This window comes from Homo sapiens, chromosome 12 (genome assembly GCF_000001405.40).
Source record: "Homo sapiens chromosome 12, GRCh38.p14 Primary Assembly".
Lineage (NCBI taxonomy): Eukaryota > Metazoa > Chordata > Mammalia > Primates > Hominidae > Homo > Homo sapiens.
This window is the reverse complement of record NC_000012.12, coordinates 95713351-95735639: the sequence shown is the minus strand read 5'-3', so window position 1 is coordinate 95735639 and position 22289 is coordinate 95713351. Positions and strand designations below refer to the sequence as shown.

General features: G+C 37.2%; 1 protein-coding gene and 1 long non-coding RNA gene across 5 annotated transcripts in view, besides 4 other annotated features; both read left to right on the top strand.

Annotated features, from left to right (window-relative positions):
- NTN4 (netrin 4) overlaps window positions 1-22289 on the top strand; it is a 133349-nt gene that overhangs the window by 55516 nt on the left and 55544 nt on the right. The gene's annotated exons all lie outside the window — the stretch shown is intronic.
- Window positions 814-22289, top strand: LOC105369919 (uncharacterized). The gene is made up of 3 exons (XR_001749273.2): window positions 814-10817; window positions 14822-14915; window positions 16945-22289. It is a non-coding gene; the product is annotated as an uncharacterized LOC105369919 (long non-coding RNA).
- Window positions 3762-3821: an enhancer, noted in NCBI's record as "active region_6815". NCBI's record gives its function as "activates an Ori minimal core promoter by ATAC-STARR-seq in GM12878 lymphoblastoid cells {active_cell/tissue: GM12878}" and the evidence as "EXISTENCE:reporter gene assay evidence [ECO:0000049][PMID:35858748]".
- Window positions 3874-4091: a silencer, noted in NCBI's record as "fragment chr12:96125327-96125544 (GRCh37/hg19 assembly coordinates)". NCBI's record gives its function as "represses an EF-1alpha promoter that drives an FKBP-Casp9 reporter gene in an ReSE screen in K562 erythroleukemia cells {active_cell/tissue: K562}" and the evidence as "EXISTENCE:reporter gene assay evidence [ECO:0000049][PMID:32094911]".
- Window positions 3874-4111: a biological region, named in NCBI's record as "ReSE screen-validated silencer GRCh37_chr12:96125327-96125544".
- Window positions 4032-4111: an enhancer, noted in NCBI's record as "active region_6814". NCBI's record gives its function as "activates an Ori minimal core promoter by ATAC-STARR-seq in GM12878 lymphoblastoid cells {active_cell/tissue: GM12878}" and the evidence as "EXISTENCE:reporter gene assay evidence [ECO:0000049][PMID:35858748]".

Sequence of the window (22289 nt, the reverse complement as noted above, 5' to 3'; positions counted from 1 at the left end):
CAAGTAAAGGAGACTATACAGTAAGTGTTTTTCCATTCCAAAAGGATGTTAGAATGAGACATCTCCATCCTAGAAAACCCTATGGAACGGAAACCTCATTTTCTTACTAATCTCCTGCTGCTTTGAAATTGGAAGCAATTTCCTTTTAAAATAATATTAGTTTGCTGACATCTTTCTATTCCATTTTCATACTGATTTCAATTTGTGCAGCAGTGGTAGCAGCCCCTAGTGCCATTACTAAGCATGTGTTTGAATGGAGCTAAGCCAAGCCAAAACTGTGGATAAGGCCAGGTAGGGGGTAAAAAACAGCCTAAGTGGCCAAGACTATGTTGACTTCCAGGGATCCAGTTCCATCACAATTCTTGCTATCCCTATTCTCTTTAGAAAAAAGAAAAAAGAAGAAAAAAGAACCCATAAGCAATTGGACCAATAGCAGCCACGGTTGGAAATGTGAATTATTCTGGTTTTCGATTTTTCCACCCCTAAGCTTGGGTGTATTTGACTTTTATCTATACTTTTTTCTGAATTAGAAAAGAGCTTGTATTAAATTTGGAAATGGTTGCCTCCTTTGAATGTGGTTTTTGTTTTGTTTTGTTTTTTGAGATGGAGTTTCGCTCTTGTTGCCCAGGCTGGAGTGCAATGGCACGATCTTGGCTCACCATAACCTCTGCCTCCCTGGTTCAAGTGATTCTCCTGCCTCAGCCTCCAGAGTAGCTGGGACTATAGACATGTGCCACTACGCCTGGCCAATTTTGTATTTTTAGTAGAGATGGGGTTTCTCCATGTTGGTCAGGCTGGTCTCGAACTCCTGACCTCAGGTGATCCACCCGCCTCAGCCTCCCAAAGTGCTGGGATTACAGGTGTGAGCCACCACACCCAGCCTGAATGTGATGTTTTAATTCCTATGATTGCTTCACTGAGCATATTGCACATTGAAAGTATAGCCTTTTGCCTTATTAGGAACATAGGCATAGATTAATTGTCCCACATTTGTGTGTCTCTAGACGCCATTTATTTTATGTACACGGCTGTAGAAGAACTGAAATCTGATTGTGCCTGCAGAATGGAAGGTAGCTTCTTAAGAAATGCTGTTCTTTTGCAGGTCAGCTTATCATAGGTATGTGCACACAAATCTAAATTTTTAGCACAGTTTTTATTTGCAGCAGTGGAATGTGGTCCCTGAACCAGCACCATCAGCCTCATCTGGCAACTCGTGAGAAATACACATTCTCAAACCTTACCCCAGACCTACTGAATCAGAAATTCTAGAGATGAGGCCTAAGAATCTATGTTTAACAACCCCTCCAGGTGTTCTAATGCTTGCTAAAGTTTGAAAACCATTGCTTTACAGACTATGCCAGTTCGTCTGTGGCTAATATTGTTGCTAAAATGAGTAATTAATGAAACCTGATTTTATGGGCTAGAATTGTTTATGGCTGATGATAGCAAATTAGGGAAGTTAATGGAAATGGCACCCTATTTCTTAAACTATCGAAAAGAATAGGAAAAGAGATTCAAACTAGGAGCCTCATTTACCTTAATACATTCCTTTTTTTTTTTTTTTTTTTTTGAAATGGAGTCTTGCTCTGTCACCCAGGCTGGAGTGCAGTGGCGTGATCTTGGCTCACTGCAACCTCCCCCTCCCGGGTTCAAGCAATTCTCATGCCTCAGCCTCCCAAGGAGCTAGGATGACAGGCATGCACCACCATGCCTGGCTAATTTTTGTATTTTTAGTTCAGATGGGGTTTCGCCCTGTAGGCCAGGCTGGTCTCCAACTCCTGACCTCAAGTGATCTGCTTGCCTCGGCCTTCCAAAGTGCTGGGATTACAGGCATGAGCCACCATGCCCGGCCCCCTCCTGTGTCTTTTAAAACAGCATCACCTTCCCCCCATGTTTCCCCTTCTCCCCAGATCCATTCCACTTAGTCTCACCAGTTCAGTTTTCCTTCATCTGTCTATTTTACTGGAAGACAGAACTGTGTGATGATTAAGACCCTGGTATTGGAGCCAAACACAGCTAAATCTGACTTACCACAGCACTTACTAAGTTACTTGGTCTCACTGAGCCTCAGTTCTCTAATAAAATGAGGATAATATCTACCTTTTGTAGTTATGGTAAGGATTTAAAAGTCTGATGCTCTGTGCCCGGGATATGGTAGACACTACTTACATTGCTGTCATGATTCTATTGTATTATCTCAGCTACCTCTACTCTTCTCCTTCATACACTTCTTTGCCAATAATGACAAAAATAAATCACAGCTTATGTGCTGTTTGACATGTTTACAAGGCTGAGGGTTTTGTGGCAAGGAAAACTGTGCTTTGACTCCAGCCTGCTGGAATCCCGGAAATTGTGTGAAGAGATCTTAAGCTTTTTTCTCTTTGCAGCTGTAGAGGACTAATTTAGTTCTCTTTTTCCTAGCAGCTGGTGATTTTACAGCTGTTGGGTGATGAATGGTAATAAGAGGGAATATGGAATGTTTCATTATTTTATTCAATTATCATCCACTGGATAACATGGAGGCCTTAGAATACTGTGAGAAATATTTAAATGCCCTGAGCTGCACTTGTTAAGGCAGATTTTTCTCCTGTAATTTGGAGCTTATTTTAAAAGATGGTCAATATTTTGACTGATGCGTCTAAGTCTGAGGGTAAATGCTGAGATCTGTGGAACCATATAATGGGGTTTGAGGAAAATGTTCCTTAGCTACCTAGCTGTATAAGGCAGGTTTTAGAATCATTCATATAGTCTCATTATGAAAGTGTTTCCCAAGGAATCCGGATACATTCATTCATGTATTTATGTTTTCATATATCATATGTCATGTTTTATAAATTAAGGACAGATTTAAAGCTACAGTTTTCATCTTCTTTTTAAAATTTATTTTAGATTTTATTCATGTTCTATGAATAAGCCAAAAGTATCATTAGAAAGCTCTTCAGGCTGGGTACGGTGGCTTATGCTTGTAATCCCAGCACTTTCGGAGGCCAAGGCAGGCGGATCACCTGAAGTCAGGAGTGATCTGCCCGGCCAACACGGTAAAACCCTGTCTCTACTAAAATACAAAAATTAGCTGGGTGTGGTGGCACGCGCCTATAGTCCCAGATACTCCGGAGATTGGGGCCGAAGAATCGCTTGGACGCAGGAGGCAGAGTTTGCAGTGAGCTGAGATTGCGCCATTGCACTCCAGCCTAGGTAACAAGAGCGAAACTCTTGTCTGGAAAAAAAAAAAAAAAAAAAAAAGAGGAAGAAAGAGAGAGAGAAAAGAAAGCTCTTCAATCTTTAAGATGTTAAGGAAATGAACAGGAGATTTTAAAAACGATAAAGTTATTAAATTTGACTGTAAAATCAGGATTTTAAGGGAGAGAGAGAAAGAAAGGAGAGAAAGAAAGAAAGACAGAGAAAGAAAGAAAGAGAGAAAGGGAGAGAAAAGAAAGCTCTTCAATCTTTAAGGTATTAAGGAAACGAACAGGAGATTTAAAAAACAATAAAGTTATTAAATTAGACTATAAAATCAGGATTTTAAAATACTTCATATGGTAAAACATGCATGTATGTTTGGAAATGTACATCTGTAAATTAGTTTTCGGTTTTAGCACAGAAAAAAACTATCATGGATTATAAATACTGATGACAACAGTTACCCCTTACTGAATGCCTACTATGTGCCAGGTCTTGTGCTGTCATGCTACAAGTATTATTGAATTTAATCTCCATAACAACTACATGGAGTATCATTATTTTCTTTCACAGATGCGAAACCGAGACTTGAAAATGTTGACTTCCCCAAAACGAACGAAGGGTAGAGCCACAATTACATTCACCTGTCAGACACTAAAGCCCATTCTCTTTTTGTTGGTGTTGCACTGTGAAAGACTTGGATCTAACCAGGGTTGACATCGTGCCAAGAACAGAGAAAAGAGAGGGAGGGGAAAAAGGATTGGAGAGGGCAGGGGCGATGAGGCTGGGTTCAAGGGACTGATCATCATCATAACCACAGAATCTAAACTAAGGAGGGAAGTGAGAGAGTAAAGACAATTCTCACCCCCAAAGGTTAGCTGATTTATTTATTTATTATTATTTTTTGAGACAGAGTCTCACTCTGTTGCACAGTGGCGCAATCTCGGCTCACTGCAACCTCTGCCTCCCAGATTCAAGCGATTTTCCTGCCTCAGCCTCCCGAGTAGCTGGGATTACAGTTGCCCACTACCACACCCGGCTAATTTTTATTTTTAGTAGAGATGGGGTTTCACCATGTTGGCCAGGCTGGTCTCGAACTCCTGACCTCAGGTGATCTGCCCACCTTGCCCTCCCAAAGTGCTGGGATTACAGGTGTGAGCCACCATGCCTGGCCTAGCTGTTTTATATTTTATAAAGTTCTTTCCTCTGCATTATTTCACTCCATCTTTACTATAACCCTAGAAGGTATGACTGCTCTTACAAGGATAGGTAAACTATCCAAGTCCTCTACATTTCAATGTCACCAGAAATTAGCATTGATTCTCTTCCATTAACAACTAGTGAAATGGCTCCAAAGGGAAGAAAAAGAGAAAGAATAAAAGCAAAAACTTTGGATATTCTACAAAGTAAATAATTTAGAAGTGACTATCTTTGGAGGGGTATGGATATCTATGGTTTTATTAGGAAGAGGAATTTCTGGATCTACCATCCTTTACTTCCCTCTCTAGCCCTAAATCATTTTTGCTGCTGATGAAAAGCACCAGCAACCTCTATCATTTAATTTGTCACATTAGGATCTGGAGGAATAGGTAATCCTGTCACCAAAGGAGTGCAACATATTCCTAATATTAACAAAATGTAAAGCTTGCCAATTTGATACAATTAGTGTGAGCCTATCCTCAATCCTTATTTCAGTGCTCCTGTGTTAGCATGGCATAGTTCTGCTGGTAGTCCCTTAGCACTGAGTAACCACAGGTGCTATAGAAGGTGTACAGAATGTTGATTTTACTTTATTTACTACCTCATATTTCCTAATAGAAGGGCAAGCCAAATTCACGTTCATGGCTGGAAATTGTTAGTGTTTTGACTGTGTTTTCTCTCCACACAGTAAGATATACTTTCTTTTAATGGAAAAAATTGCCCAGGATTACTGTTTCTGATGATTAGGAAACAAGAAGACTTTGGGACCAGAGGCATTCTAAAATAATCTTGGCACCCATGGAAGGATTTCCTGTGGGGTTCCTTTCAAGAGTTTCCCCAGAACAATTAGATATTTATTTATAGGCCTTTATTTCACAGAGAGGTGAAAGGATAAAAATACCTGAGAGGTAAAATGTTGGTATCAGAGCTGACATCTCTAAAAGTGAAATAGAAGCCAATGGGAAAGTAAGGTTGAGTCTCCAAAATATAATATTTGTTCATTTAACTTTTCATGAACATGCTTTCCAGAAAGTGAATGTTTTTCCAGAAAACATATATATTTAGGTCAAAATTGGGGCACTGTAAAAGTGCAAAAATGAATCTAACAGGTTTGAAATACTTGTTCTATAAATTTGGGAAGGAATAACTCATATTTGACTTTTTTCTTACTATAAAGTACTCCCCAAATATTCAAGGCATATCTCACTTTGCAAATTTTCTCATGAATACTTCCTTTTCAGTATAACATTTTTGGGTCCATCTGTGAATAGCTGGGAACCTGGAGTCAGATCTCTGTGTCTGGAAGACCTGGCCTTCCAATTTCACTGCTAATATAATGGGTTCATGGGGAGAAGGAAGCTATATGGAAAGAGAAAAGCTGAGGTTACTGATAGATATCTGACTTCTGGTGCACAAATCGTGTCTCCATGGTATTTCATTTGTGTCTTGCCAATTTTGTAATAGCTGGAAGCATACTTCAATTTGTCCTGAAACAGTTATATTCAGTAGAAGATAAACTGTGATTTAAGTCCTTATTCTCCCTTGCAAGGGAAATTTTTAGTGACAAGACACGTAAGGTTAAAATACACACACACACACACACACACACACACACACACACACACACTCTCTCTCTCTCTCTCTCTTTATAATAATTCCAGAAGATGGAAAAAAACCCACAGCCATTTCAAATAGTAAGGAAAACAAGATCTGTTGATGTTGACATTCAAAACCTTAATAATATAATTGGGACTACGATTGCATTACATCTTAGCAATGTAAATATTTTAATGGAATAAAATAGTAAATTAGTACACATATAGGGATATAAAAGGGCTATAATATTTGTTAACTCATAAAAGATTTTTTTGTAATATGGGATTCTAATTTGGCATCTTTTTAGCTCTTTTCCTAGTCTTTAGGTAGAACAAAAATAGAGAAGATTATGGTTTCAAAAACCAAGACAAAATATATTTTAGCTTTAAGATAGCTCACATATTATAATGGAAAAAATTATTATATTTGTTATACTATTAAATATTTTATATATAATATAAACATTATGCACTTCATACAAGTAAACATGAATCAAGTGTCTTGCCTTTTAATTTTGCATCTCTAAGGGCATGTATTAGTCTGTTCTTGCACTGCTGTAAAGAAATACCTGAGACTGGGTAACTTATAAGAAAGGAGGTTTAATTGGCTCATGGTTCTGCAGGCTGTACAGGAAGCATGGCAGCATCTGCTTCTGGGGAGGCCTCAGGAAGCTTCCAATCATGGCGGAAGACAAAGCAGGAGCAAGACCCCTGACATGGCAGGAGCAGCAGCAAGGGTAGGGGAGGTTCCACACACTTTTAAACAACCAGATCACTTGAGAACTCACTATCCTGAGGGCAGTGCCAAGGGGAATGGTGCTAAACCATTCCTGAGAAACAGCCCCCATGATCCAATCGCCTCCCACCAGGCCCCACCTCCAACACTGGGGATTACAGTTTGACATGAGATTTGGATGGGGACACAGATCCAAACCATATCAGGGCAACACTATCAGGCATGTAACTTAGCTGGCTCAGTGAGCTCTCAGAATTTCTGAAAGGCAGTGATTTTATTGTTTCCCAGATAAGAACCTAGTAGCCATTAAAATTAAAGAGAACACAGGATCATAGTATTTCCATAGGCTGAACAGAGGCAAAAAATCCTGTAGCCTATTTGTCTTTTAGTTCAAACTTATAACTTAATTCAATTCAACTTAACACACCAGGAATAAAAAGGAGCTTCCTCAATGTAATAAAGGTTAGAAAGGAACTTCTCAATGTAATAAAGGTCATCCATGAAAAGTCCCCTGTTAACATCATACTTAATGGTGAAAAACCAAATACTTCCTCCCATGATCAGGAATCAGACAAGGATGTCTGCTCTCACCCCTTCTATTCAATATGGTGCTGGAAGTTCTAGCCAGGGCAATTAGGCTAGAAAAATAAGTAAAGAGCATTCAGATTAGAAAGGAAGAAGTAAGCCTATATTTATTCACAAATGATATAATCTTAGATTATAGAAAACTCTTAAGAATTCACCAAAAAACTATTACAGCTGATAAACAAGTTGTAAGATACAAGATCAACATTTCAAAAATCAATTATATTTTTATACACTGGCAATGAACAATCCAAAAATGAAATTAAGAAAATCTCATTTACAGTAGCATCAAAAAAGAATAAAATAGAGAGAAATAAACTTAACCAAATGCAGGGCATATACACTGAAAACCCTGAAACATTGTTAAAAAAAAATTAAAGAATACCTAAGTAAAGGGAAAGACATTTTGACTTCATGCATTAATTAGAAGGCTTAATATTATTAAAATGACAATACTCTCCAAACTGACCTATAGATTCACTGTGATATCTATCAAAATTCTAGCTGCCCTTTTTGCAGAAATGGACCAGCTGAACCTAAAATTCAGGTGGGAAAGCAAAGGACCTCAAATAGCCAAAACAACCTTGAAGAACAGCAAAGTTGGAGAACTCACACTTTCCAATTTCAAAGCTTACCTCAAATCTATAGTAATTAAAACAGTGTGGTACTGGCCAAAGGATAGGCATATAAATCAATGGGAGAGAGAGTTCAGAAATAAACTTATACATTTGTGGCCAAAATTAACAAAAATTAACCAAAATGGATCAAAAACCTAAATATAGAGCTAAAATTATAAAACTCTTATAAAGAAACATAGGTGTAGATCTTCATGACTTTGGATTAAGCAATGGTTTCTTAGATATGACACCAAAAGCACAAGCAACAAATAAAACAAATAAATTGGACATCATCAAAATGAAAAACTTTTGTGCATCAAAGGATGCTATCAAGAAACTGAAAAGACAATGCACAGAATGGGAGTAAATACTTTCAAATCATATATTTGAAAAAGTTCTGGTATCCAGAATGTATAAAGAACTCTTACAACTCAACAACAAAACAAAAAATAACCCAGTTTAATAATCAGTAAAAGATTTGAATGACTGGTCTTGAGCCACCCAAAGAAGGTATGCAAATGGCCAATAAGCACATAAAAAGACATTCAACATCATTAGTCATTAGGGAGATGCAAATCAAAACGATATTGTGATACCACTTTACATCCATGGCTATGATCAGAAAGACAAACAATAACAAGTCTTGGGGATGATATGGAAAAGTTGGAACCTTCATACATTGCTGGTAGAAATGTAAAATGCTACTGCTGCTGTGGAAAACAGTCTGGCATTTTCCCCAAAAAAATTTTTTTTTTTTGAGACAGAGTCTTGCTCTGTCTTCCAGGCTGGAGTGCAGTGGCGCAATCTCCACTCACTGCAAGCCCCGCCTCCCAGGTTCACGCCATTCTCCTGCCTCAGCCTTCTGAGTAGCTGGGATTATAGGCATCTACCACCATGCCCGGCTAATTTTTGTATTTTTAGTAGAGACGGGGTTTCACCATGTTGAAGGCTGAACTCCTGAAGGTCGAACTCCTGACCTCAGGTGATCCACCCATCTTGGCCTCCCAAAGTGCTGGGATTACAGGCGTGAACCACCATGCCCAACCCTGTCAAAAATTTTAATATGGAGTTGCCATATGACCCAGCAATTCTACCCCTCAGTATATACACAAGTGAATTGAAAACATGTCTACACAAAATCTTGTACATGAATGTTCATAGAAGCATTATTCATAGTAGCCAAAAAGTGGAGACAACTCAAATGTCCATCACTTGATGAATGGATAAACTATGGTATGTCTATACAATGGACTATTATCCAGCCATAAAAAAGAATGAAATACTGATACACGTTATAATTTGGATAAACCTTGAAAATGCTGTGCTAAGTGAAACCTAGACACAAAAGGCCACATATTGTATTATTCCTTTTATGTGAAATCCCCAGAATAGACAAATCCATAAAGATAAAATAGGTTGGTGATTGGCAGGTATCAGCAATTAAGGGGGAATGAGAAGTGACTGCCTAGTGAGCATGAGATTTCTTTTTGGAGTGGTGAAAATGCTGTGGAATTAGATGGTGGTAATGACTGTACAACATTTTGAATATACTGAAACCACTGAAATGTACACTAGAATGGTTAAAAATAGTGAATTTTATGTTACGTGAATGTTATCTCAGTTAGAAAAAAATCAATAGCTTAAAAAAAAAACCCAAACAAAAACAGAAAAACAAACATGGTGGGTTATACAGGAATTTTACAGAATAAATATATTTCTTTTCAAGACCAGTCATTAAACTGACTGATTTCAAAAGCAATAGCTTTTGGATGGATGAGTATTGAAGAAAACCAATTCTTTCAATAGCTGTGGCTGTTGTTTCTGGCCATACACAGATAGTCACAGATTTCTGAATGGCTCTGTATTCTGATAGAGTTTCTAAACAAGCGTAACTTTTTAATAAACCAGTATTCCACCTTCATTTTTCATATGTGCATACTCAATAATGAAGACTGTGTTTTACAAGATTCACCTAGAAACAAACAATTTCCCGATATGAAAAGAAGCATCTGAATGAATTAACAACAAAAAACAATGGAAGACAACATGCCCTAGTAACTGACTTCTTGTACTACAATCAGGGGCTCATTTATCTTAAACATGTCAACTTTTGTAATACCCTGTGCCCTGTATAGAATACTGAGTGACAATCAGACAGTGCTGTCAAGAAAGAAGGGAAACAGCAGGAAACGTGAACTAGACTGGATCTTTAAAAAAATCTTTGTAAGAGAATGCATAGTAGCCTGTGACAAGAAATTTTTTTCCTTTAAAACAACCAGAAACTATGCAAACACATTGAGCAAATGAATCTTAACGGGTGAAAAGTACTTAATAATCCTTACAGCATTTCTAATAGAATTTACCTGGCCCCAACTAATTATAACAACTTCTAAATCCTAGAAGACAGTGAATAAAACCCTACAACACCTTCCTTCATTCTCAAACACTACTTGACAGATAAGTTGCTTACAAAATTAGTTCTACTCGTTTTTTGCTTTCACGCAGTTTCCCAGGTTCTTGCCTAATAGTTGTATTAAGAGTTTAAATGGCTTACTAGAAGTTATATATTGTTAATTCTATTTTTGCTGCCTCTTTCTAAAATTATTAAAATTAAATAGGTACTAAGAAACTGAAATCGATGTAATCCCCTTTTCCCTCCAAGAGATTCTATTATAAGAAGTTATTTTAGGTGTTTGTGGGAAGCAAAAAAAAAAAAAAAATCCTGATGACATCACTGTTCTAAGATGGAACTTCTAATATTTTAGGAATCTCTTGGGAGTTCTGTTCCCTATTCTGTCATTGATTTGCTTTCTGACCTTGGGAAAGTTTAAGTATAAAAAGACAAGTGCAAAGGAAAGTTATGAAAACAAGACTGAGATCAAATGAAGAACAAAGATGGAGTAGGTAGAATGACTATGTAGCTACTGTCTTAGTAACTGAGCATAGTGACCTAGTAGCAATTTGGCTTGAAAGAAATTTCAAATTACTTGGCTGTGTATTGAGATAGTTTCCCATATAGTATTATAGAAAAGTCTGTCTATAGACAGGAATTACAGCAAAAATCTAGTATTTTTGTTGTAATACTTGTTGATCATCTTTTGCTCTATATTTGCAGCTGAACAAACTATAGCTGTTATAAAGGAGAAAAGGAGCCAATTTGATATTCTAATGCAATGAAGTCTTAGATATATTGAAATAAATGTCTTAAAATCAGAGTGCCTTACTTTATTGCCATTGCATACATGCAAATCTGCAGCCAAGTTAAGCCCATACACCAGCTCAGTTCACTTGTAGGATCTAGTCAAGTAAATATCCCTGTTGGACAGAAATCATTTTTAAAAGGCCAGTAGTCAGAAATAATTTTTAAAACCTATTGGAAACAAAGAATAAGAAACAGTTCTATAGAGTGGAGTAATGATGGAAAAAAATCTCATAATTGGTAACAGTATGATCTTATCTAAATGTAATCTTCTTAAGCCTCCTGGGCATTACAATTCTTAGTCTAATGCTATTTGCATTTTTATGGCAGAAATATTTATTACAGTCCCCAGAGGGAAGATAAAGTGCGTGATGATACTGAAAAGAGGAAGCTAGTAGAATTAATCTTGTGAAAATATGAGGCATTCCAACCCCACTATACGAAACATGTTAAAATTCCATTTTTAGAAGTAAATCCTCAAGTATTCTTGATTTAAAAAAAAAACTCTAGGTAACATGTGAAGGGTAAGAAATGGTAGTGTTAAAAAATAACTTTGTAAAAAGAAAGGTCATGACTCTCATATATATATAAAACGAACATGAGTCAAAGATGTATTTAACTCATTAATGAATGACAGGCCAGTAAGACATTACAAACAGTTCAAAGGAAAATTCAAAGAATCACACATATATAGGCAAATAAAGAATGCTGAAATAGGCCAGGCACAGTGGCTCATGCCTGTAATCCCAGCACTTTGAGAGGCTGAGGTGTGCAGATCACCTGAGGTAAGGAGTTTGAGACCAGCCTGGCCAGCATGGCGAAACCCCATCTCTATTAAAAATACAAAAATTAGCCGGGTGTGGTGGCGCCTGTAATCCCAGTTACTCAGGAGGCTGAGGCAGGAGAATCGCTTGAACCCGGGAGGCAGAGGTTGCAGTGAACCAAGATAGTGCCACTGTACTCCAGCTTGGGCAACAGAGTAAGACTGTGTCTCAAAAAAAAAATAATGCTGAAATGTATTTACAAATAGATGCAAAACAAGTCAATATGAAGGGCAATGATCAATTGCATTCTACCAGACACAACTGATTTGCATTTCTATGGACAGAAATTATTTGCATTATTAATCATTTCCTACAACTTACAGAGTTGTAAAATAGCTGAATGATGATAAAAGGCCAAGAAAACCTAGCGAGGGTGTGCTGCGGTAACACACTTGGTAATCTCTTGGTGGTGGGCACAGGGAGTGGATTTCAGAGTCTTTCACTATTTTTCCCCGACAGCAGGAAAGGTAATTTTGGTAGTAAGGTTTCCCAAAAGATGCTATATTTGAACCTAAAGTCCACAGTTATCAATAAAGATAGTCTATCGCTGGCCTCACAAAAGAGAGATTTGTTTTGTTCTAGGAAATCATTATTCTGAAGAGTAAGACAGACTCCTACCTAAAATTACTCAGCCCAAATTTAAACTGTACTGCTCACTTGCAAAAAATACTCTTGAGCCAATTATATAGTTTTAAAACAATGGATTTTTTTTTTTTTTTTTTTTTTTTTTGAGACAGAGTCTCACTCTGTCACCCAGGCTGGAGTGCAGTGGCACGATCTTGGCTCACTGCAACCTCTGCCTTCCGGGTTCAAGTGATTCTCCTGCCTCAGCCTCCCAAGTAAGTGGAATTACAGCACACACCACCATGCCCAGCTAATTTTATTATTTTTCGTAGAGACAGAGTTTCACTATGCTGGCCAGGCCGCTCTCGAAATCCTGACCTCAAGTGATCTGCCCGCCTTGGCCTCCCAAAGTGCTGGGATTACAGGCATGAGCCACAGCACCTGGCCTAAAATAATGGAAATATTTTAAAACCTTCTTTCACTTGGCTTTTTAAGTGAGGTTTTTGTTTTGTTTTTCGAGACAAGGTCTGGCTCTGGCCCAGGCTGGATTGCAGTGGCACAGTCTCGGCTCATTACAACGTCTGCCTCCCAGGCTCAAGGGATCCTCAACCTCAGCCTCCCGAGTAGCTGGGACTATAGGTGTTCACCAGCACACCCGGGTAATTTTTGTATTTTTTGTAGAGATGAGGTATTGCCATGTTGCCGAGGCTGGTCTCCAATTTATGAGTGGAAGCCATCCACCCTCCATGGCCTCCCAAAGTGCTGAGATTACAGGTGTGAGCCACCACGCCCAGCCTAAGTGAGGTTATGTTATCAACACTATTTTTAAACTCAAACGTGTTTTGTGATTTATTTGAAAAGGCCAAGCTGCGCTTTTCTCTGCCCTTGAGCAGTTTCTGCCTTCCTTCCTGCAGATGGGTGGGTTTGGGGGTTTGTTTTTGCTTTATTTCATTTTTGGCTAATCATCTAATTTTTACAAAAGTGGCCATGCTGTATAGAGAAAGATAAACCACAAAACTTGACTTTAGGTCTTAGTTCTAGCTGTAATACTACCAAAAAAAAAAAAAAAAAAGATCTACTGAATCACAACTTTAAGCAGTCTCGGAATCAGTGCCCACCGTGTATATATATAGATGTATACAGATGTGGCCAGTCAATGTACACAGATGGGGTCGCATTTGGAAATTTGTGTGTGAGTGTGTGTGTGCGCGCACGTGTGCATGCACATGCACACTTGCACTTCTGAATACTCTTCAACTCCTGATTTCTTATGGTAAGTAGCATATGCCATGGCACAGATGAACTTGGACTTAGATAAATAATTCAAAGCTTTGGGGCATATAAAATTTTGTACATGAAAAAATGGAAATAAGCCAGCAACCTCAATTTAAAAATTTACCTAAATCATTCGGTTATGCACAGTGTACTTCTTATTCTTCATAACTAGATTTAAACTGACTAGAAGTCATCACACTACCTATTACCATTCTTACCAGATCGTATCTAATAGGGATGGTAAATAACATAAAGGAGGTGCTATCCACAAAGAGCAAATCTTTAATTAGAGTTTATTTACATTCCTGCTGTCATCTCTGTTTGTAAATGTATTCAAAGGAGTTCCTAGTAAGGACTTGTTGAGGCTTGCAGTGGCCTGGAAATTCCCCTAGAAGGCATCAGAATCTCCAGTGCGCAGATAGAAAGGTTTTACATAGAACCAGTGAAGATCAAAAAGTATTCTCTACCCTTACTTGCCTGAACTTTATGCCAGGTGTGGGAAATTGGGGCCAGTCTCTCTGTATTCACCTGTCTTCAAAACTGCTTGGCTTCTTCCAGAGGAATAGAACCGATAATCCATTCAAGCACAGAACACTCATGAAGTGGCTCACCATGAGTCCAAACCCGACTCTGTCCTGGACAGCTCTTACTTAAAGGACAAGTTTTGGGAGGACACACCAATTTTATTTATAAAAGTGTCATCCCGAAGAGACTTGGCCAAAGTGGACCCCTCAAAATCCTTCTGCCAAGGGTCTTACAATGGCATAGTTTAGGGGTTAAGATGAGGATGCTAGAGTGAGACTGCTGGAGTTCAGGTAGCTTTACCACTTATTGGCTTTGTGGCCTTGGGCCGATTACTTAAACTCTTTGGGCCTTTGTTTTCTCCTTTGTGAAACTGGGCAATAATAGTTATACCTACTGTATGGGGTTTTCGTGTAAAGGAATTGAGTTAATATTTATACAATGCCTAGAATGGTGCCTGGGTATATAGTAAGAGCTACTCAGTGTTAGTTACTATTACTATTGTTGTTGTTATTTATCATCAGGTCCATAACTGACCCACATTCCTTGAGCTTACAATAGATCTCCAGGAGATGACCACTACGCATGAGGACATATTTATCAACATGCCTTGCCCAGGTATAAACCTGTATACCCCTTATAGGAAGCAATCTGGACAAAGCTAAATGTGACAAGTGAAATTATCTCGTTCCCACTTCAAATGCATAATTATCACCCTGCCTTCTTGGCAGTTTTAAAAATGAGACTAAGCTCGGTAACTTGAGTTCTCAAGGCTTCATAATATATATATTCCCTGAATGAAAAAAAAATACACGTTTATTGGAAACCCATTGTATGTCAGTTACCAGGGATTCAAAGACATTTAAGCCACTGTTTGTTCCCTGCAAGGTCTTACAATCTAGTAGAGAGAGGCGGATAATGTATGATTCCCATGCTGTACACTAAATGCCGTTTTCTTAGGGAATTTGCATTGGCTCCATTCATGGTTTTTTCAGGTCTGTCCATCAGAGCAAGGTCTTGGCAAATTAGTGAAGTAGGCACAGTTTGTTTTTGGCTCCTCTCTCCCCTTAAGACATTCCCTTTCCCTCCTCCGGGAAGTCCCAGTTCTAGGATTGAAAACATGATTATAATCTCTGCTGACATGTTTTTGCTAATAATATAAGGATTTGCCCCTCCTGAGGGTAAGTGCATTTTTGTAAGGAGGTCTTGAACCTAAAACATCATTCTAGAGCTAAAGGAATGAATTTATACAGAAAGAATTTCAGGTTACAGCTTAGCTGGGGGAAATGAAGCCTTAAGTACTGGTTAATTTTTATTCTTTAATTATAATTGTTTTTACACTATGCCTATCTTTATTTTATTGCCCATGCTTTTTTATGAGTGGGTTTCCTCAAGTGTTCAAGTATAGACAAAGAATAAGCAGTAAAGCTTTTCATTTCTACTTGCATTTTTACTACTTATATTATTGGGCAAGAGTTTGAAACACTCAGCCTTCAACCTATTTTGCCCCATTCTGACAGTAGGTTTCAGGCCTCCTTTTCACCAAACTCAATTATTATGCTTGATATTCACCATAGAACTTCTACTTCTTCTGTTAAATTAAAACATGCAAACCTTTAATGGGAAAGGGCATATTTTATTCGTTAATGAAAAAACATGTTTTTATCACAATGCTTTCTATTCAAAGGTTGTGTTGTAGCATTTGTTGTGCATGTTTTTGTCCTGAATAAGAGCAGCAGGTTCTAACAGGCTAGCCCATTATTAGAATTTATTTCTTTTCATGAATAACAAGTTCATTATTTTAGAAGTTTAATCCTTTTCTCTAAAAGGGGCATACTATCTCTTTAGAAATTAATCAGTTTTTGCCTTCACATTTGGTCTTCAATTGCTGTATAGCATTGTTTCACTCTCTAAATTATGTGTCATAGCTATAGAGGTCCATGAATTGCTGCAGCTGTCGTTAAGGGGGCATTTTTCTATGGTCCATAGAATAAGCACTGTTTGTATCCTCTTTTCACAAACATTTTTTTAAAGTTCCCATGATGGTCTAAGAGAATATTCATTTTCAATTGGAATTAAAATTTGCATGGTAACAAATTGAAATCATGTATATAAATAATAATGACACAGTAGCACAAGGAAATTATTCAACTGATGAAATTCAAAGATTTCTGTGTACTTTGCTCTAAAACAAATCTTTTTTTCATTAACTTTCATTATAATTTTTAGTAGGACATGATCAACAAGAGACTCAAACAATAGTTGTTCCTTTCTTTCTTGGAAAGCAATTGGGAAGCAAATTTTATCAGACATTCCTAGAATAATTTAGTTAATGTAAGTCCTTCAAAGCATTAACCAGGTGGATTTTCTGCTTTTGTAATTCCATTATGGTCAACGTCTGTGGTACATCACTGGAGATAAAGTACATCTTTATTTGGGAGGAGGAACTAGAATAACATTTAGTCCAAGAGTACCATAGTCACAAGCAATGGGAAACATGCAGTAGAGAGAGAAGAAAGCTGAAGGAGAGAAATAAAAAAGGATCGTATTTATTTTCATTTAAGTATAGTCAATATAGATGAATGAAAGTCTGTCTTCAGAGACTATTAATATTTATTTACTTTTCCATTTGTGTCACATTGGGTAGTTGCTGCAGGAAAGAGGAAATACTCTCTTAGCTCTTCCTCGTTTGATTTTCAGATGATTCCAGGAATGTTCTGCATTGGTAAGTGGCAACAGGATCCAGCTATATGTCATTTAAGCCTAATCTGGGGGCTCAAAAAGGATTTTGGGTAGTTTCTGCAACCAAATAGTATTTACAATACAGAGAAACAGGCCTTGAAATCATAGAACCTTAAGACTAGAAGGAACCTAAAAGTTGTTTAAGCCAATCTTCCATGTTTAAATATTCTACAACAATCTTGGTAAGCATCCATCCCATATGCTTGATGCTGTCAATGAACAGCTTCCCACAACCTCCTGGCTGGTCAGTTTCAAACTCAACCACATGATTGCTGACTACTGAAAGCGTTCTGCCCCAAAAGGAAGGACAATGAAAAAGCAGCTTTTCTAGGCAAGTCCCGTGTATCTTCCAGTTATGAATCTAAAAGATAATAATTTCCCTATTTCACCTCCCCCTGACCTAAATTCTTATGTCTCTTGCCTCAAATATGAGGAAATAATATTTTATCTTCCATGCCTATTTGGCTTTAATATATGATATTATCACCAAAGTAAACAGCTCTTAACGAGCATGCTGTTCCAGTAATTCCTTGACTGACTGGTTCAATGTGTGTATGAGTCCCTTCCTGTAAGATAAATGTGCTAAAAATGACTGGCAAGTGCGTTAATATTAGTAGCAAATAAACTCAATTAAATACGAGTGTGAAAACTTTTGACATTGGCAGAGAAGAGTATTCTTAGCATAACAGGGAAGTTTATGGAAATCATAGAATATCCAAAATTCTATTCACCTCTTGGGTCATTAGAAGTTGTAGTTTTGCTGTTAAGGTAAATTACTCATTTTTTAATTAGATAACTAGACACCGCTTTTCTTCAACTCAACCTTAAATACATAATCCCATTTTCCTGCTCCTTATCTAGTTCATGTTTGTATACCAAACAAGAGCTATGTTTAACCTATTACTAAAGTTTCCTTTTTCTGTTTTTTTTTTTTTTCAATGAAGACCTAGTTTTACTTGCACATTTTTCACGAGCATCAAATAGTGGATGATCTTTCAAGCTTGAACAGCAACAGTTGTATTGCTGAGGAAGGATTTCTTGTTTCAAATTGTCTAGGTAATGATTTACAGCTATTTTTGGTAATTCTCAAAATGACAGCTCCTTGAATTTTTCTGTATGCAGAAAAATTTGCTGGGCTAGCATCTTTCAGACCCCGGGAGGTTCATCCCAATCCTTGGCATGTGGGATCAAGGGAATGCTCTGAAATCCTCGCTGTAGAGGGAATTGACTTGTCCAACATTATCTTGTGATACATGTGAATGTTTGACGAGGTAACTCTAAATATCTGCGGACTCCTGAGGCCTGAGATTTGTGGCAGGATGAACCCATGTGTTGGGTGATATTACGTATAGGCCTTAGGCCTTCCAAGACCAAACCTGATAAGTTGAACCTATGATGATGGTTGAGCTCCTTTGAAGAGGACTCACAGTACTTTGCAGCATCTTGCTTCATACAGTATTCAATAAACGGTTGCTAAAAAGTGGAAAAGAGGGCCAGGCATAGGGGCTCATGCCTGTGATCCCAACCCTTTAGGAGGCTGAGGTGGGAGGATCACTTGAGCCTAGGAATTGGAGACCAGCCTGGGCAATGTAGTGAAACCCTATCTTTACAAAAAATACAAAAATTAGCTGGGCATGGTGACATGTGCCTGTTGTCCAAGCTACTCGGGAGACTCAGATGGGAGGATCACTTCCGCCCAGGAATTCAAGGTGTCAGTGATCTGTGATCACACCATTACACTTCAGCCTGAGCAACAAAGCAAGACCCTGTCTCTAAAAAAAATTAAAAATAAATAAGTAAAATTAAAAAATGGAGAGGATGCAAAAAAACTACATAAGAATTAACATGCTGATGTAACTGGAAAATCAGGAAAAAGAAATTAACAACCTTTTCAACTTCTGAATATTTTCAGAAAATACATGTGGGTGCCACTGGTTATTGTAAGGCATGAGCTGGGGGGAAAGCTGGAGAAGAAACCATAAAAGGAAAAAGGGAAGAAAGAACATAACAGGCAAGATAGGAGAGAGATAGAAATAATATTTTTAAAAAAAGAGAAGAAAAGAAAGTATATTTAATATATCTTTCACATCATTTCCTTACTCAAAAATCTTCAATGGATCTGCATTGCTTACAGGATAAATTTCAGCCTCTTTAAGCTAATGTTTAGTGTGTTCTGTGATCTGGATTGAACCTACCTCTCGAACACATACCTCTGGTTTATTTATTGATTGTCCCTGACTATTCCTTTAGGGTTTTTATATTCTTGTCTTTGCTCCCTAAGGAAAATCCCATGTACCCTTCAGGACACAGACTCAGGGACTGCACTTAGAAGTTTTATACAGACAGCACTAATTGACTTTGTTTTTTATCATATTTACTTTACACCCCTTAACATTTTCCCTAATGCCCTCCTTAGATAGAACTCCCTTAACAGCAGGAACTCTGACTCCAATTCTATCAGATTATTTATGTGTTTTTATGTATGTTTTGCTTTTTTGTGTGTGGGTGTTTTTTTTTTTTGACATGTAGGATTTAGATAATTACAAAACTGTTTTTCCTACTAGTCTCCATTGTGTTACTTCTGCCAGCTACATAAGGATGCCTTCATCTTACTAAATTCTTCAGCCTCGGAAGATTTTTCCTACACAGTCATTTTCTCAAAGACTCTCTTTTCTTTGAAGTCAGCATTTAGTACTACAAGTAAAACAAAGAATCATCAACTTTTCCTGAGAGCTTTTACAGAAATTTGCCACATAGAAGTTATTTGATTGGCAAGAGTTTATATTTTTTCATGATGAGAGAGAACACTGAATTTAAAATGTTCAATAAAAGTAATATGTCTGAGGCATCTCTACTTCATATATTTTATAATAAAAAATGGATAGGAAAAATCAGATACCCAGGAGCTAGGATGAAAAAAATCTCATTTTTATAGAGCAGTAGAAGTTGAATTCCTGCAGCTCTCAAAATTTAAGTGCAGATTTGTCTTTAGAGCTTGCCTGGATGTGTGAATGGAGATTTGTAGTGAACCCTTATAATTCCATGGAATTTTGATATAGAAACTTTTCATATCAGAGAGCCATGAAGAGAAGGCCAAGAAGGTAGATTATCATAACTCAATTCATACTTGGGGATTCCAAGACCAAAACCAGTGAATTGAATCTATAGTATTAGTTGCATTTCTATAAAGAAAATTAACAAAAATTTTTGCAACATCATCTTTTTTTCAAGGAGCCAATTTACCCTATTTTTAAAAAATCTGTATACTCACTAATCCCTGAGAATTAAAAGAACTTCTATAATTTTCATGAAGCATGAGAACCTTACATGACAATACACTGAAATGAAATTTAGCAAGATGGCCACCAACATATTGCTTATGAAATTTTCCAGCTAACTCTTAGGCATCATGTTCACTCACACGCAGCCCGAAGTCCTCTAAGCCCTGTGTGTAACTCCTGAACTTGGACATTATGTGAGCATAAGGCCCATAGCAGTCATATAGCACACTCGGATAATTGCACAGGCCACTTGCAGAGTGCGACCACCAGTGGTAGGAAAGTATTAAAAGAAAGAAAGTCCTGGATGAGATGACACAAGTTACTTGAGTGTTATCTTAGGTCAAGCAGTAGTATATCAGTGTATCGGTGTGGCTGTTTTCAGGTTTGTTGAACTTTACCTTAGGGACTCATTTTGGTTTGGCCACTCTGAGCACATGTCATTTTTAGTAATTCATTTTTTGTCACAATCAAAATATTTTAGATGCATTGAAATAAACTTTGCTCACAGATTCTCCTTACACCTTGGTTCATTTTGTTTCCTTTTCCTGAAAAGTTTCTTCCCTTCTGTCTGTTAAAAATGCCACCCATGTGTCAAGGGCCAGCTCCAATCTCCACCTTTCTCATAAAGCCCTCCACAGCTGTCAGCCTGTGGTGATTTCTGCATCTTTTGAACGCCAGCATTATTTTGCTTCTTAGGTATTTGTTTATTGTCTTGTTTATCTGTTATTTTCTTCTATGTAACTCTTTTTTCTCCAGCTATTATACATTTTATCTTTCTTAAAGACAGGAAAGTTTTCTAATACTTTGTGTACCAAACATGGCCTAGCATAGTGACTCTCCCTTGTAGGTACCCATTAAATATTTGTTGACTAGTTGATATAATTTGTTACCTTTATGTTACCTTTAACACTGTTTCTCAAGGAAAAAATATAAAACCTCTTAGATCCACACTTATGGACCCCATTCTGAGCTACTTTGCAAACCTTTCCTTTGTACAGTCATGACATCATGTAAATAAATAATCTTGGTACTGGAATGCATCTTGGTTGAAATTCATTGCAAGTCTCAGTTATCAGGAGATAGTTCAGATGATTCCAAACATTAATTTTTAGAAGTTATCAGTGAAATAATACAAAAAATATTAAAATTCCCATGTTTCTAAGAATTCTACTGAAGTATTTCTCTCTGGGAGAAATACTATTTTAATAAACCCTATATTACTCTGAACTATGGGGAGGAAAAAAAAATGCCCAGTCATTAGGACAAACTGTATTCAAAGCCCTAACAATACACATATTTTCAATATTACTTCTAGAAAATACATTCAAAGGAAATAATTAAAGATGCACTCAAATACTTAGCTACAATGATATTCATTATAGCATTGAATATAATATATACATACATTTAAAAACCTAAATTACAATAAAATAGGTGGTCAGATAATTGTACATCATACGGGGTGCCATTAGGGTGTGTATTATATGAGAATATTTAACAAAATGGAAAGATATTCACAATATATTATGTGAAAAAGATTGTAAATATAATTTTTTTAAGTACTGGAATTATATGCTCCAAATGTTATATTAATGTCATTTTGCAATGAGATTATGGATTTCTAAACTTTCTAGAATGAAGGTATGTTACTTTTGCATAAAGAATTTTAAAAAATTAAAGATATTAAAAACTTAGCCAGTACTTTAGAATTCAAGTGTTTGCTCAGCCAGTACCTTAGAATTGCTCTATAGGGTCATATACCCTTCAGCCAAGAAACTATATTACTTAATCTTTTGAATTTTTCAAAAGATGATAAGACAAACTAAAGAAAGCATCTCTCCTCTTGATGGCTAACTTCTTCAGGAAAGTGAATGAACATCTTATGACTAAAGCCAATCCATGAGATTAGATTGTGGGAAGCATGTTCTGTTCTTCTTTGGCGACATGTGTGCTCATAGTTCTCACTTGA